The following is a 16282-nucleotide window of genomic DNA, read 5'->3' as shown; positions in this document are numbered from 1 at the left end:
CCGTCTGAAACCTCACAGTCAGGAACTTCACTCTGGTGGTAATAAAACCATCACACTCATGAGGGTAGTAATAGAGGAGCCACCACCTACGAAGCTGAGCCCATGTGCCAGGAACCATGCTCCTGGGCCTGCATGCTCTCAATCTTCCCCAAACCCAGAGAGGCTGGGTCTATCATGAGCTCATTTTACAGGTGAGGAAGCTGAGTGCTTAGGAAGCTAGCTTGTGGCTAAACCATAATTCAAATCCCAGGTTCTTACTGCTTTGCAAAATTGCTGTCTCCAAGAAGGTTTAAACTAAAAGGGTCTTTGTTTGCACAGCAACTCTCTCATAACAATAGGTACTTACAGGCCACAAGTGCCCCAGGCCACCCAGTGAGAGGTGGAACCAAGGCTGGAACCCCTGGGTGCTGACTTCCCGATCAGTGTTCCACCCAGAGGGCGCCAGCTCTCTTAAAGGATGTGAAAGCCCCTCAGCTAAGGGGACAGAGAAACCGAAAACTCTAACTTCATTCAACAGGCAAAAATGAATGGACTCCCTTTGCCTCCAGCTGTGGGCAACAGTCTAGAGGGAGAAATACCCAGCCTGCACCTGCACCTCAAGAGGCACAGCAGCATCACTGAATGGAACAAACACCAAAGAACAGCCAAGTAAAGTCAACTGTCCAGAGCCTCCCAGGTTTCTGACGACCCAGCCACCCTATACAAGGCCAAGGTAACATGCAGAGTTCACTGGTTGGTCACCTTCTGAAGGAAGCACAGGTAAGTGCCCTACAGAAGCTGGGAATGGAAGCTAACGCCTGGGATCCCTCTGTACGCCTCTCGCCAGTGCGCTTTTCCTACAATGCCCACATGCAGCCCCACCCCTGAACACTTATCAGTCGCTAGCTCTATTTCCCAGTCTTGTCAGGGTCAGACATCTCAAAAACAAGTATGGTTTATGTTTCTGTACCATGAGGGAAACCACAGTCTCCCATGTCACCGGGTCAGTGTTCTAATCTCGGTGCTGGCCAGCACCCATGTCCCCTCCTCAGCGGCATGGGTGGGTTGGGACCAGTCTCCAATCAGATGCTGATGGCTAACCAAGCTTTGCTTCAAACCAAGCACCTCAGGGCTCTCTCACTTATGACACAAACCCAGCTCTAATGAGCTGAAGTTTAAAAGAATACATAGGCCAGGCGCGGTAGTTGACGCCTATAATCCGAGCACTGAAGTCCAGAGTTTGAGATCAGCCTGGCCAACATGGTGAAACCCTGTCTCTACTAAAAATACAAAAATTAGCCAGGTGTGGTGGCATGTGCCTGTAGTCCCAGCTACTTGGGAGGCTGAGGCAGGAGAATCATTTGAACCCAGGAGATGGAGGTTGCAGTGAGCTGAGACTGCACCACTGCACTCCAGCCTTGGTGACAGAGCGAGACTCCATCAAAAAAAAGAACACATAGGATTGAGGGAAGGAGACTGTGCAAAAATCTCAACAAGAAATAATAGTGACGGCACTGAAAAACCCCAGATACATGGCTCAGCCACTTAAACACCATTAACCAAATCACGAAACTAGGGTTGCAAAGTAGGTGACCCATGGGGACAAAGCTTGGGGAGATGAGTTCCCCTGTGGGTCAAAGCCGCGGCCCATCCACACTTGTGGCCTGAGGGTGCCAAATGTCTCAGCACCTTGGGAGGGCTTGAGAAAGCCTGGGCTGGAGCGTCTGAAGCTAGCACCCTGCCCCAGACATCCATTACACCATGAATAGATCATGGATGAGTTTATGTAGAATATGTTTTAAACGTCACACGTAGCCTGCAGCTCCTGAGCTCACCCTCTGCTGACCTGCTATCCCAAGGCAGGGCAGCAGAATCCCACAAAGCAGCTCCATCTGGAAAAGACCCCATCAAAGCCCCCTTTTAATGCAACCTGTGATGACCACAACCCCCGACACCACCAGCCTCAGAACAGGTGCCAGTGGACACATCTCAAAATCACCTGCTTTATGCCTACAGTGGAGCTGCCGAGGCACCTTCTGGAAATCCACATTCTGTCTACTCATGACCCCATGTAATCTCCTGCTATCCAAATGGGCCTCTCAATGAGGCTTAAGCCATCGCCGGTCTGGTTTTGTTCATATTCCGAGGCATGGAATACGACTGGCTTGTATGTGGTATCAAAGGGGACTATTATCTTTGGTTCCGTAAAAGAATCCTAGAAGGACTGGGGAGGACTTGGAAGGCGTCAGAGAGGGACTGCCACCTCCCTGCCAAGGGGCTAGCCAGCTTCTGCTTGAAGCCTGCTCAGAGCCAGAATCAACCCTCAGCCTGCGGAGTCCCCTCCACAACGGGCTGGCCTCCCTGTCCCTCCAGGTCTATCAATGCGAGAACAAGTGACACAGACAACTGTGAATATCTGACAGGTCAGGCCTTAAGGACCATGACACCTCCTCTGCTCCCCACTCCAGATTCTGTGGTATTTCCAATGCTCAGCTCATGGGTCAGGGCAAAACCTCTACTATGCAGGGCTCTGTGCTAGGCCCCGCCCAAGCTCTTCACAAACACTAGCACACTTAATGCTCGCAACGACCCCATGAAATAGAGATCTCATCCACTCAGTTTCTTGTTTCTTTCTTTCTTTCTTTTTTTTTTTTTTTTTTGAGATAGAATCTTGCTCTGTCATCCAGGCTGGAGTGCAACTGCATGATCTCGGCTCACTGCAACCTCCGCCTCCCAGGTTTAGGTGATTCTCCTACCTCAGCCTCCTGAGTAGCTGGGATTATAGTCACCCGCCATCATGCCTGGCTAATTTTTGTATTTTTGTAGAGACAGGGTTTCACCATGTTGGCCAGTCTGGTCTTGAACTCCTGACCTCAGGTGATCCGCCCACCTCAGCCTCCTAAAGTGCTGGGATTACAGGCGTGAGCCACCACGCCCGGCCTCATGCACTCAGCTTTACACATGAGAAAAGCTCTGAGTAACAAGTAACACATCCAAGCTCACACAGCTGGTGAGAGCAGAGGCCAGGGTGCAAACCCAGGACCGTCCCATTTAGCATCTATGCCCTGAGCTACCATGCGATTCAGCCGGCACAGGGTCCCATACAAGGCAGAAGTTCAGAACATTTGGAACCATCTCTGCTGAACGGGGCATCACCACTACATCTAGGAGGGCCGCGTCAGCCTACAGGGCCAGAAATCCAGGTTCTATTCCTAGCTCAAGGGGGCCCGCAGGAAGGCTCTTCCCAGCAGAGTCATGAGACTGTGGCAAGCCCACAAAACAGGGCCCCACAGACAAGGAATAAGAGTAGGCATCATGCCAAATGATTTCCACAGATGAACTCCTTCAGCCTCCCGAGTACCTACGAGGTTAGTGCTGTCTTCACAGATGAGGAAACACACACATATTAGGCAAGCAACTTCCCCAACGTCACACAGCTAATCAAAGTGCTGGAGCTGGGACTGGCAACTCCAGAGTCACGCTCCAGAGTCCACCTGCTGCTAAACCTCGTCACCAACCTAGTGCTCACACACCTGTTTTTCCCTGACGAGTCAAAGGCCCCACGTTCCCCTCTTCCATTGCCAAAGGTGGCGACAAAACCCCGCACACACCAGCCCAGCACTGATGGGGTGAGTCATTTACGAGCTCCGGACCATCCAAGGTCTTCAGGTTCAAGGAGCTGGTGACTCAGTGCAGCCACCCCGTCCAGGGCTCCAAATTCCTCTTTGTCAAGTGTGCAGATCTGTATATGCTAAATGTCTGTTTACTAGAGCTAAACAAAGAAGTCAATGCAGGCAAACAAAATCTGTAGGAAACACATTGTTTCAGCCAGTCTCTGGGACAGCAAACAATAGAAGGCAAAAGGCTATGCAGAGAACTTGGTAAAGAGAAACTGCCTTGGAGTTCCCAAACCTGCAGACCCTTGATTGTGTTGGCAGCTCGAGGGGATGAGAGAGCCTCTAAAGAGGCCAGGCGTGTCTGAGAGGGCCTCTCTGAATGACCAGCGCCCAAAGGGCGTGGAGGATGTGGCTGTACACGTGTGGCCCGGGCAGGTTTCCGGTGAACACTCCCTCCCTAACGGCGCCGGCGCCACCCCAGGTCCTGGTGCTATCTGACAGTGTGAGCTTACTTACGAAAGCCCGGTCTGCTATTCAGTCACTTCTAGGCGGGTCCTGTTATTATTATTAACAAAGATAAGATTACGACTAATAATAACACTCATGACATTTAAATGCATTTCATCCTATCGCTTCAGCCTTGCTCTCTGAGGTAGGGTAGAGTTCAAATTCCACATTTGTGTTCCGCCAGGGGCCCAGCATGCCAACTCACTCAAACACAGATGAAATTTCCAGAGCTTTCTTAAGAATGAAGTGAGTTTTTTTCCTTTGCACTAACGTGCCAAGCACACTGCAGTTTGAGCTGCTGGAAGGAAAATGCCTATTGTTACACCTACAAAACCCTACTTAACTCTCAGCTTCACACCTCTCAGGAGAAACTGCTGAAAATCTCCTAGAGACTGCCCCCCAGCTAATTTGTGCATTCCCCCAGCATTTGAGGGTCTTCTGCAGAGAGGGCTGTGGGCCGCATGACAGACCTGCACCTGCACAGAGCAGCTTATGGGCCTGTCATGGAGGTGAACAATTGTCCCCTGGTTTCTTAGGGGATTGGTTCTGGTGCCCCCCTCAGATGGCAAAGTCCATGGATGCTCAAGTCCCTGATATAAAATGGTGTAGTATTTGTATAAAGCCCATGCATATCCTCCTATACACTTTACATCATCTCTAGATTACTTCTAATACCTAATACAATGTAAGTGCTATGTGTATACAGTTGCTATAACGTATTGTTTAGGGAATAATGACAAGGAAAATGTTTGTACATGTTCAGTACAGACCCAAGCATCCTTTTATTTCTGAGTATTTTCAATCTGCGGTCAGTTGTATCCACAGATGTGAAAGTTGCAGATACAGAAGGCTGACTGGACATCAATGAAGGTACAATTACACATTTTGGTGACAAGTGGCAAAGAGATGAACAGAGGACTGTGATGAAGAATGGCAGGGCTGGCAGTGGGCTGCAAAGGAGCCCTGCTAGTTAGGATGCAAATAACAGGCCCCCAAGAAGGTAATATTTATGCCCAACCCTGAATGCCAATGAGCAGTGAAGGAATGTGGAGAGGAGAGCACGGGACTCTGGGCAGAGGGAACAGCAATAGGAAGGTACATTCAAGGTACTCCAAGGAGGCTGGAGGAGCAGACAAAGTGTGGGGGACTGGCACAAGGCCCCCTCCCTCCCAAAGGCCAACACCCCAGGCTTTGGAGCTGGCTGGCCCCCTCCAAGGTGGCTCTGAGAAAGAGGCTTGGAGAGCCAACTCAGCAACTTTTTTTTTTTTTTTTTTTTTTTAAGATGGAGTCTCACTCCATCTTGCAGGCTGGAGTGCAGTGGTGCGATCTCAGCTCACTGCAACCTCCGCCTTCTGGGTTCAAGCAATTCTCCTGCCTCAGCCTCCCAAGTAGCTGGGATTACAGGAGCACACCACCATGCCCGGCTAATTTTTTTGTATTTTTAGTAGAGACAGGGTTTTACCATGTTGGCCAGGCTGGTCTCAAACTCCTGACCTCAGGTGATCCACCCGCTTTGGCCTCCCAAAGTGCTAAGATTACAGGCGTGAACCACTGTGCCTGGCCATTATATCAGTCTTGACCCTAAACCTAACCCTGACTCCCCAGGATGAGAGCACGCAAAGCTCTCTGAACAGGGCCTACCCACGGAAGCCTCATAATGTGAGCCCATTACAGGGCTAACCACACGGGTGCTGCTACCCCAGGAACCCTCGGCTGCATGTTCAGGGACTATAGGACGTCCTCAGGAAACCCCTTCCATGGGTTTGGGGGCTCCCAACATCCACCTGTACCATTCTTGCTTCTCACGGGAAGTAGGCCACAACTATTGTCTATTGTTTGTTCTCCAGCAAGTCACCCTAACTGTCAGAGAAGAGGCTCGTGCTTCAACAAGCAGGGGGAACGCGTCAGGTCATCAAACTTCCTGTGAAAAGTCCCTCTTTGTTTAGAAAAGATGCTGGTTTGTTTCTATGTTTCTGTTAGAGAACAAACAGAAAGCTGCCTGGAAGAGTCTAGAATGAGGTAAGAGAGTTCCAGTCAGCCAGTGGCAGAGGCCCCCAAATCTACCCTGAGCAGAGAGCAGATGTCATCTGCCTGTGACAGGAAGCCCATGGGAAACAGATACCATCTCCCTCTGGGCCCCAAGGCCCATGGGGACTCCGCTGCAGGGTGAGGGCACCCCCTTTGTTATCTACTCACAAGTCACCCCAGAAGTGAGGACAGCTGGCTCCTGGGCCGTGGTGGATGATGGATGAATCCCACCTTGAGATCAAGGCCTGGAGACAGGGCCAGGGTAGCGTTTCTTAGGCACTAAAGAGGCAGCACCAGTCCAACCCTATTCATTACTAGCTCAGCCTTTCCTCAGTGTCCTGAGATGACGAGAATGATAGTGATGACATTGGGGACAGTGACGACAACTGCCATAACAACTACTGCAACAGCAAACACTTGGTCAGCATTTATCACCTGCCAAATCTCAACAACCCTATTATCGTACCCATTTTACAGATGAAAACACAGAGGCTCAGGGAAATTAAGCTGTCGGAGGTCACATCCTAATTGAATCTCAAAGGAGGTAAGGTTCAAATCCAGCCAGCCCAGCATTCTGGCATTTAACCACTAAATCACACCTCGTCTTGGGCAACAAAAGTAGCAAAAGGAAGGACTGGCGCAAACTGTGGCAGGTCCTCAGACATCAGGACCATCTGCTGAAACCAACGGGGCTGCCCAGGGGCAGAAGGAAGCTAAGCTGGGGCTTCTCCGGCAGTGAATTCTCTTTACACCGGAAAACACTGCATGCAAAAAAACAGAAAAACACTGCTTGGGCTTTGTTTTTAAAATAATCGAATTATGTGTACTCAATTTAACACAAAGCTTGTTCTAAAGTTGACTTTGTTCATTCCATTTTCCCATCTGCTGCTTTAGAAGTTGGTGATGGATAAACAACCAATACAGAAAATTTCTGCATCTAGGCGTGTGCATGGAGCTGTGGGTGAGGCCAGTGTCCACAACAGAGACAGTGAGTGCCAGCCGTCTCTACCTTGTTCCTTGCCATTTAGTGACACACCCTGCAAGTCCCAAACCCCAGTGGGCTCCAGAGAGGATGCTCACTGGGAATCAGCACAAACAAGGGAGACTCCGTCCTCCTCTTCCTCTTGTCCTCAGGAATTGTCTGCTTTTGTCCTTCTCCTCAGGGGACCCCATTTCCTATGAGGCAGCATGTAGGGTTTTGGACCTGGCTGGGCTGTGGGGGGTGGGGAGTGTGGAGGAGCTGGGGTGGAGAGGACCCATCTTCTGACATGGGAGCGCCTCCCTGTTCCATGTCATTGTTTGTGTGGCTGAGCCAGCATGAAACTCCCAACCAAAACCACAGCTTTGAAAACACGTGCAGAGGTCACCTAAGCTGCCTCCCGCCTTTCCTGGAGGACAGTTTGGGTCCACGAGCGGTGCTGGACCTCCTTGCTATAGAACCTAAGGCTGGTTCGGTGCTTTTATTGCCTATCTACCTGCCATGTCCTCAATCCCTAAAACAGGGCCCGTCCGCTGAGCCTCCAGCCCCTTGCCATCCTGTGGAGAGGGCTGCCCAACCCAGGGTGGGAATCCCTTGCCTGGCCACGGTGAGGAGTCTGCTGCCCAAGGCCCTGTTATGACCCCACAAGTATGACCCCAGCTCCCAGACGGGCAATCTGACAGCAGCAGGGGTCATCTAAAGCAGCGCCAGACAACAAAACACAGCTAGGCACGGTGGCTCACACCTGTAATCCCACACTTTGGGAGGCCAAGGTGGGAAGATCGCTTAAAGCAGGGAGTTTGAGACCAGCCTGGGCAACACAGGCAGACCCTGTCACTGCAAAAAGAATTTTTTTTTTTTGAGACAGAGTTTCGCTCTTGTTGCCCAGGCTGGAGTGCAATGGTGTGATCTCGGCTCGCTGCAACCTCCGCCTCGCAGGTTCAAGCAATTCTCCTTCCTCAGCATCCTGAGTAGCTGAGATTACAGGCGCCCGCCACCATGCCTGGCTAATTTTTGTATTTTTAGTAGAGATGGGGTTTCTCCATGTTGGTCAGGCTGGTTAGAACTCCCGACCTCAGGTGATCCGCGCACCTCGGCCTCCCAAAGTGCTGGGATTACAGGCATGAGTCACCGCTCCCAGCCCTACAAAAATAATTTTTTAATTAACTGGGCATGGTGGCACACGCCTGCAGTGCTAGCTACTCAGGAGGCTGAGGCAGAAGAATCACTTGAGCCCAGGAGTTCAAGGCTGCAGTGGGCTGTGATCACAGCACTGCACTCCAGCCTGGGCAACAGAGCAAGACCCTGTCTCCATAAAAAAAAAAAAAAAACTCTTCCCCCCCACCCACCCAACCCCAGCAAATGGCCAAATCCAAGCCTAGTGGGAAATCAGCAGAAGCAATAAGAAAAAGCAGTGAAAGCCTCCTTGACTCCATGAAGAATCCACCTTCCCCGCTTCCTCCTCCAGCCACAGGATTAGACAGCGGGTTCCCTTGGCCAGCCCCACCGGCTTCACTACTTAAACTTCCTCACCCTTGAAAACACCCAAGTTATGAAGGGAAGGAAAAGCCCATTGGAAGGTAGCTGGGTGTTTGGGAAGGGCTCTTCTTGATAACAACCAGCATCATTTCTTTTTTTTTTTGAGACGGAGTCTAGCTCTGTTGCCCAGGCTGGAGTGCAGCGGCGCCATCTCGGCTCACTGCTCACTGCAACCTCCACCTCCTGGGTTCAAGCGTTCTCCCGTCTCAGCCTCCCGAGTAGCTGGGATTACAAGCATGAGCACCATCATGCCTGGCTAATGCTTGTGTTTTTATAGATACTGGGTTTCACCATGTTGGCCAGGCTGGTCTCGAACTCCTGACCTCAGGTGATCTGCCCACCTCGGCCTCCCAAAGTGCTGCGATTACAGGTGTGAGCCTTCGCGCCCATCCAGCCAGCATCGTTCCTAAAATAGGTAAAGAAATCAGACTGCACAGTCCAGGCCTGCAGCTTCCTCCAGTAAACTCCCCAAGACAATGGGCACAACCTCAGGACAGCCTTCTGGGGGAGGCCACAGATGCCCTCTGTCTCCTGGTAGCCTTAGGTTCAGCTGAAGGGATGGGGGTCCTCAGAGAACCTCTCTGTTAGTGGGGCCCAAAGAGGGAACCGAGGCAGCTCAGTCCATGACAGCAGGACCCAACGCAGATCCCAGGGCCCGGACTTCAGCCCCAGGCAGGGACCCACTCCTGAGCAGCCATAGAGGTCTCCTGGCATTGAGTGCGGCTGAGAGGGCGTGTGGCCAGTGGTTCTGGACAAGAACCTGCAGGGCCCAGGGTTTCCCTGGAGGCTCCAAAATGCCTGGAAATATGCATACGCCCTTCCAGAGGAGGACTACTTGCTTTTAGTACAGTGGAGCCCAGGCACTCACTCCAATGGAGGTTGAGAACTCCGACTGTACTGATCAGCTCAGGCTGCCATAGACTGGGTGGCTGAAACAGCAGGAATTCATTGCCCGTGAGTCTAAAAGTTAGGAAGTCCAATATCTAGGTGCTGGCCCATTTGGTTCCTCAGTGCAGGCCACCTTCTTACTGCGTCCTCATGTGGTAGAGAGAGCGAGCTCTGGTCTCTCTTCTTCTTCTTCTAAAGGCACTAATCCCATCATGGAGGCCCCATCCTCATGACCTCATCTTAACCGACTCACCTCCCAGAGGCCCCACCTCACACTGGGGGTTAGGGCTTCAACAAATGAATTGTGTGGGCACAAAAACATTAGGCCCATAGCACCAACTTTAGGTCAACATCCTTGATCTGCCACTCACCTGCGGGGGGGCCTCAGCAAAGGCTTTCTCTACCCTGAGCCTCAGTTTCCCCATCTGTAAAAGAGGCTGGTAATACCTGACTCAGAAAGGAATTAACAAGATAAAAACTAACGAACAGAAAGCAAGGAGGACAGAGTCCAGCACCTGAGCAGGCCCCCAAAATTAAAGGCTGGTGGGGAGCACTTTGAGATAACAAACATGAACTTGATTCATGTGGGAAGGCTGCTGGGTTCCTGGCAATACAGGTTAAGATGAGGCAAGGCTGCTGCCTGTCCAAAGAGGCCGCTGTGAGCCCCAACCAGCTCAGCACGGAGTAACACAAAAGAATGAAAGCTGTCTCTGAGTCGGCCTTCCCAACAGGACACTGAGCTCCCAGGGACAGGTCTGTGCCTTGCTCTATGGACCTTAGTTTTCTGAACAAATGATTCTCATTGGTCAGATGACAGTGAGGCACGTCATGCCAAGGCTACTCAGGGCACCCTGGCCAGGAGGAAAAGGGAGTGGGCAGGGCATGTAGTGGGTAAGTGTGGTTTTAGTCCACCCAGGGTCCCTCCCACTGCTGAAGAATAGTCCTACCCCACTTACAATGCCAGGCTGCTGATCAGGGCCCTGCTACCCACACAGGACTCAGATCTCACGAAGCACAGAACGTGAACCCCTGTCCATGACGATCAATTTCAGATGTGTACACAAAACCCAAGCCCCGATGAGAATCATGCCTTGATGATGTTTGACATACAGCTGCTGGGAGAGGTGGTCTTTCTTGCTGAGGGATAGCTAACTTTAAGGACACACAGCCACTGGCCATCTTTATCGTCATGGGGAGAAGGATGAGCGGTAGTAGGAGAGAGAGGCCAACACTCAGAAAGCAGCAGAGCCAAGAGCTGTAGGAAGCAGGAGGCAGGAAACAGAGAAGGACAAACACCAGATGGTAGGACTTGAGCCCCACCCAGGACTCAACTTCCCAAGCACATGTGCCAACAAATGCCCTGGAGGTTTTTGTTTATTTGTTTTGCTTAAGCTAGTTGGAGTTGAGCTTCTGTCACCTGTAATGGAAAGAGATCTGCCTAATGACAGTCACCTTGCTGGAACTGAGCAGAACCAGGCTGCAAAATTACACAGAAACAAGTTGCAAATGTCAATGGAGAGCATTCAAGGTGGCATGCAAGCACGTGGCTCATTTTGATAACAAATATAGACTCTCTTGAGGAGCATCACATTTGAGAAAAGTCATGCTGAGAACCTCTCTCCAATCTGCCTCCTGCCTGCCATCTGTCTTCTCTTGCAGAATGTGTGTCAGGGAAAAGGAAAAGACCCACAATTAGTTATCAACAAGGTTTTATTTTTTTATTTTGTTTTATTATTATTATTATTATTTTGAGACGGAGTCTTGCTCTGTCACCCAGGCTGGAGTGCAGTGGCACGATCTCAGCTCACTGCAAGCTCTCCCTCCTGGGTTCATGCCATTCTCCTCCCTCAGTCTCCTGAGTAGCTGGGACTATACAGGCGCCCGCCACCACGCCCGGCTAATTTTTTTGTATTTTTTAAGTAGAGATGGGGTTTCACCATGTTAGCCAGTACGGTCTCGATCTTCTGACATCGTGATCAGCCCATCTCAGCTTCCCAAAGTGCTGGGATTACAGGCATGAGCCACTGCGCCTGGCCTCAACTAGGTTTTAATACTTGGAGGAGAGGGGAAGAGAAGAGAGGAGAGAAAAAGCTGAGAACATGATTGAAAAGAGACTTAACTTCTTCCTTGTCCAAGGACACTGAGACATTTAACTCAGAAAAGCCAAAGAATCATCCATCCCTGTTTGCCAAGCTGATGGGCCTGTATAACTGTATTCTGGAAGATGCCAAGAGATGTTTTACACATGCACACACACACAAGTGAGATTCCATGCTTAAATATTAACCAAAGTCTGTTAATACAATGAAAAAAAAATTTTTTTTCCACTGCAGGACTTCTCAGAGCCTTTGATATAAGAATGTACATTGTGGACTGGGCATGGTGGCTCACACCTGTAATCCCAGCACTTTGGGAGGCTAAGGCAGGCAGATCACTTGAAGTCAGGAGTTCGAGACCAGCCTGGCCAACATGGTGAAACCCCATCTCTACTAAAAATACAAAAACTAGCTGGGTGTGGTGTGCGCGCCTGTAATCCCAGCTACTGGGGAGGCTGAGGCAGGAGAATGGCTTGAACTCAGAAGACGGAGGTTGCAGTGAGCTGAGATCGCGCCACTGCACTCCAGCCTGGATGGCAGAGCAAGACTCCGTCTCAAAAAAAAAATGTACATTGTGAATCTCCAAGAGATATAGTAAGAAATATTTCCCAACAACTTTGACCATAGAACCCTTTTCCTCAGCTGTATCTATTAATATCTCCTGCAATGGGGTGCCATGGAATAATTTTTAGATGCATGTGTAATCAAAATTCCTTATTTACAGATGGAGAAAGCAATGCTCAGAAAATTACAGTTACTTGCTAAAGATCACAAAGCCAGCAAGTCAGTGGCATAGCTTGAGTAGGAACCCTGGTTCCTTGACTCCCTGTCCAATGCTACTCGAAGCTCCATCCCATTATAATGATTCCAAAATAATCTTAATCAGGCATCTCTTGGTCATTTCCTGAAGCCAAGGCAAAATAATATTAAAACCAAAGTTAGGCCAGGCACGGTGGCTCACGCCCAAATCCCAGCACTTTGGGAGGCTGAGGTGGGCGGATCATGAAGTCAGGAGTTCGAGATCAGCCTGGCCAACATGGTGAAACCCCATCTCTACTAAAAATATTTTTAAAAAATTAGCTGGGTGTGGTGGCGCACACCTGTAGTCCCAGCTACTCGGGGGGCTGAGGCAGGAGAATTGCTTGAATCTGGGAGGCGGAGGTTGTGCTGAGCCGAGATCACGCCACTGCACTCCAGCCTGGGCAACAGAGGGAGACTCCATCTCAAAAAAAAAAAAAAAAAAAAAAAAAAACCCAAAGTTAAAAACATTCATATATAATCTTCAGGCTGCACAGAACCCTATTTGGCTCTGACTTCAGAAACTCACACTTAGGCTGCTGTCAGGGGCACCACTTGTGCTTCTGAATTCTAAGAGAGTACTTCAGACCTATTTCCTGGTGGGCTGATTGGCTGCCAAGTGTCTCCATGTGTGAGGAAGAAAATCAGTAACTCACACACGTACATCTGACAACACAAAATAGGTACAGTATAAATGTACAGAATGAAAGTGAGTTTCCAAAAATAAAAATGTAAATGTATTAAAGCTTCAGGAAAAGAATCGTATCAACATCTCATTAGGTCAATTTTGACTTCATTGCCTCAAATACTGATATTTCCCATTTTTAAAGCAGACGGTCCTCTCCCTCTCCCTCTCCCTCTCCCTCTCCCCATGGTCTCCCTCTCCCTCTCTTTCCACAGTCTCCCTCTCATGCCGAGCCGAAGCTGGACTATACTGCTGCCATCTCGGCTCACTGCAACCTCCCTGCCTGATTCTCCGGCCTCAGCCTGCGGAGTGCCTGCAATTGCAGGCGCGCGCCGCCACGCCTGACTGGTTTTTGTATTTTTTTGGTGGAGACGGGGTTTCGCTGTGTTGGCCGGGCTGGTCTCCAGCTCCTAACCGCGAGTGATCCGCCAGCCTCGGCCTCCCGAGGTGCCGGGATTGCAGACAGAGTCTGGTTCACTCAGTGCTCAATGGCGCCCAGGCTGGAGTGCAGTGGCGTGATCTCGGCTCGCTACAACCTCCACCTCCCAGCCGCCTGCCTTGGCCTCCCAAAGTGCCGAGATTGCAGCCTCTGCCCGGCCGCCACCCCGTCTGGGAAGTGAGGAGCGTCTCTGCCTGGCCGCCCATCGTCTGGGATGTGAGGAGCCCCTCTGCCTGGCTGCCCAGTCTGGAAAGTGAGGAGCGTCTCTGCCCGGCCGCCATCCCATCTAGGAAGTGAGGAGCGCCTCTTCCCGGCCGCCATCCCATCTAGGAAGTGAGGAGCGTCTCTGCCCCGCCGCCCTGTCTGGGATGTGAGGAGCGCCTCTGCCCGGCCGCCACCCCGTCTGGGAGGTGAGGAGTGTCTCTGCCCGGCCGCCCCGTCTGATAAGTGAGGAGACCCTCCGCCCGGCAGCCGCCCCGTTTGAGAAGTGAGGAGCCTCTCCGCCCGGCAGCCGCCCCGTCTGAAAAGTGAGGAACCCCTCCGCCCGGCAGCCACCCAGTCTGGGAAGTGAGGAGCGTCTCCGCCCGGCCAGCCGCCCCGTCCGGGAGGGAGGTGGGGGGGTCAGCCCCCTGCCCGGCCAGCCGCCCCGTCCGGGAGGTGAGGGGTGCCTCTGCCCGGCCGCCCCTACTGGGAAGTGAGGAGCCCCTCTGCCCGGCCACCACCCCGTCTGGGAGGTGTGCCCAACAGCTCATTGAGAACGGGCCATGATGACAATGGCGGTTTTGTGGAATAGAAAGCGGGGAAAGGTGGGGAAAAGATTGAGAAATCGGATGGTTGCCGTGTCTGTGTAGAAAGAAGTAGACATGGGAGACTTTTCATTTTGTTCTGTACTAAGAAAAATTCTTCTGCCTTGGGATCCTGTTGATCTGTGACCTTACCCCCAACCCTGTGCTCTCTGAAACATGTGCTGTGTCCACTCAGAGTTAAATGGATTAAGGGCGGTGCAAGATGTGCTTTGTTAAACAGATGCTTGAAGGCAGCATGCTGGTTAAGAGTCATCACCACTCCCTAATCTCAAGTACCCAGGGACACAAACGCTGCGGAAGGCCGCAGGGTCCTCTGCCTAGGAAAACCAGAGACCTTTGTTCACTTGTTTACCTGCTGACCTTCCCTCCACTATTGTCCTATGACCCTGCCAAATCCCCCTCTGTGAGAAACACCCAAGAATGATCAATAAAAAAAAAAAAAGACCATGTCATCTGTGAATTAAAAAAAAAAAAAAAAAAAGCAGACGGTTAAATATGTTAAAGATTCAGAATCACAAATCAGATATTAATTGGCTTTTTAAAAAACTGACCTTGGCCGGTGCGGCGGCTCACGCCTGTAATCCCAGCACTTTGGGAGGCCGAGGCGGGTGGATCACGAGGTCAGGAGATCGAGACCATCCTGGCTAACACGATGAAACCCCATCTCTACTAAAAATACAAAAAAATTTAGCCGGGCATGATGGTGGGCACCTGTAGTCCCAGCTACTTGGGAGGCTGAGGCAGGAGAATGGCATGAACCCAGGAGACAGAGCTTGCAGTGAACGGAGATCGCTCCACTGCACTCCAGTCTGGGCAACAGAGGGAGACTCCGTCTCAAAAAAAAAAACAACTGATCTCAAGAGAATGTTATACCACATTATTTAGTGGAGAGAAGAGGCCAAGAACATGACAACTTATGTTCATAGAAAAAGCTGTTCGTGAATGCTTATAGTGGCTTTATTCATAATCGCCAAAAACTGGGCCCATGTTCTAGAGCTATGCTGTCCACTATGGTAGCCGCTAGCCATATGCAGCTATGTGAATTTAAATCTTAATTTATTAAAATTAAATGAAATTAAAAACTCAGTTCCTTGGTAGCACAAGCCACACTTCAAGCACTCAATGGCCACACATGGCTAGTAGCTACCATAATATACAGAACATTTCCATCATCACAGAAGGTTCCATTGGACAGCGCTGCTCTGAACTCTCTGACCCACTTCCCTGGTCACAGCTGGTTGGCCCAGGGCAGGCCACTTGACCCAAGGGCAGCCAACAATGACTGGTGTGCCTACCAGATGACTTAAATTGAGGGCTCTGTCCAAGAGAAAAGCAGTGACTAACTCACCAACCAATTTTTCTCTCTTTGGGGTGTCAACATTCAGTTAGCTGGTAGTGGGAACATATGAAGAGAAACACAATGAGCAGAAAGTATGATGCAGAAAAGGAAGCCACCAGTAGACAGAGCCAAGATGAAAGAGGGAGTGTTAGGCCGGGCGCAGTGGCTCACGCCTGTAATCCCAGCACTTTGGGAGGCTGAGGCGGGAGGATCATGAGGTCAGGAGATCGAGACCATCCTGGCTAACACGGTGAAACCCCGTCTCTACTAAAAATACAAAAAATTAGCCAGGCGCGGTGGTGGGCGCCTATAGTCCCAGCTACTCGGGAGGCTGAGGCAGGAGAATGGCGTGAACCTGGGAGACGGAGCTTGCAGTGAGCCGAGATAGCACCACTGCAGTCCGGCCTGGGCGAAAGAGCGAGACTCTGTCTCAAAAAAAAAAAAAAAAAGAAAAAGAAAGAGGGAGTGTCATGGAAAGAGGATGGAAGGAACCGCTATCACCTGGGAAGAGTGCCCTGTCACTGTTGCACCTGGGCCAGACTTCCAAATACCCTTCACCTGAGACTGGCTGCCAAAGCCAGC

General features: G+C 50.8%; 1 protein-coding gene across 1 annotated transcript in view, besides 2 other annotated features; it reads right to left on the bottom strand.

Moving 5' to 3' along the window:
* GRK5 (G protein-coupled receptor kinase 5) overlaps positions 1-16282 on the bottom strand; it is a 252175-nt gene that overhangs the window by 184531 nt on the left and 51362 nt on the right. The gene's annotated exons all lie outside the window — the stretch shown is intronic.
* Positions 5886-6135: an enhancer, noted in NCBI's record as "active region_4110". NCBI's record gives its function as "activates an Ori minimal core promoter by ATAC-STARR-seq in GM12878 lymphoblastoid cells {active_cell/tissue: GM12878}" and the evidence as "EXISTENCE:reporter gene assay evidence [ECO:0000049][PMID:35858748]".
* Positions 6266-6495: an enhancer, noted in NCBI's record as "active region_4109". NCBI's record gives its function as "activates an Ori minimal core promoter by ATAC-STARR-seq in GM12878 lymphoblastoid cells {active_cell/tissue: GM12878}" and the evidence as "EXISTENCE:reporter gene assay evidence [ECO:0000049][PMID:35858748]".

Source organism: Homo sapiens, chromosome 10, assembly GCF_000001405.40.
Source record: "Homo sapiens chromosome 10, GRCh38.p14 Primary Assembly".
Taxonomy (NCBI): Eukaryota; Metazoa; Chordata; class Mammalia; order Primates; family Hominidae; genus Homo; species Homo sapiens.
The sequence above is the reverse complement of the archived record's forward strand: the minus strand, read 5'-3'. Positions and strand labels throughout refer to the sequence as shown.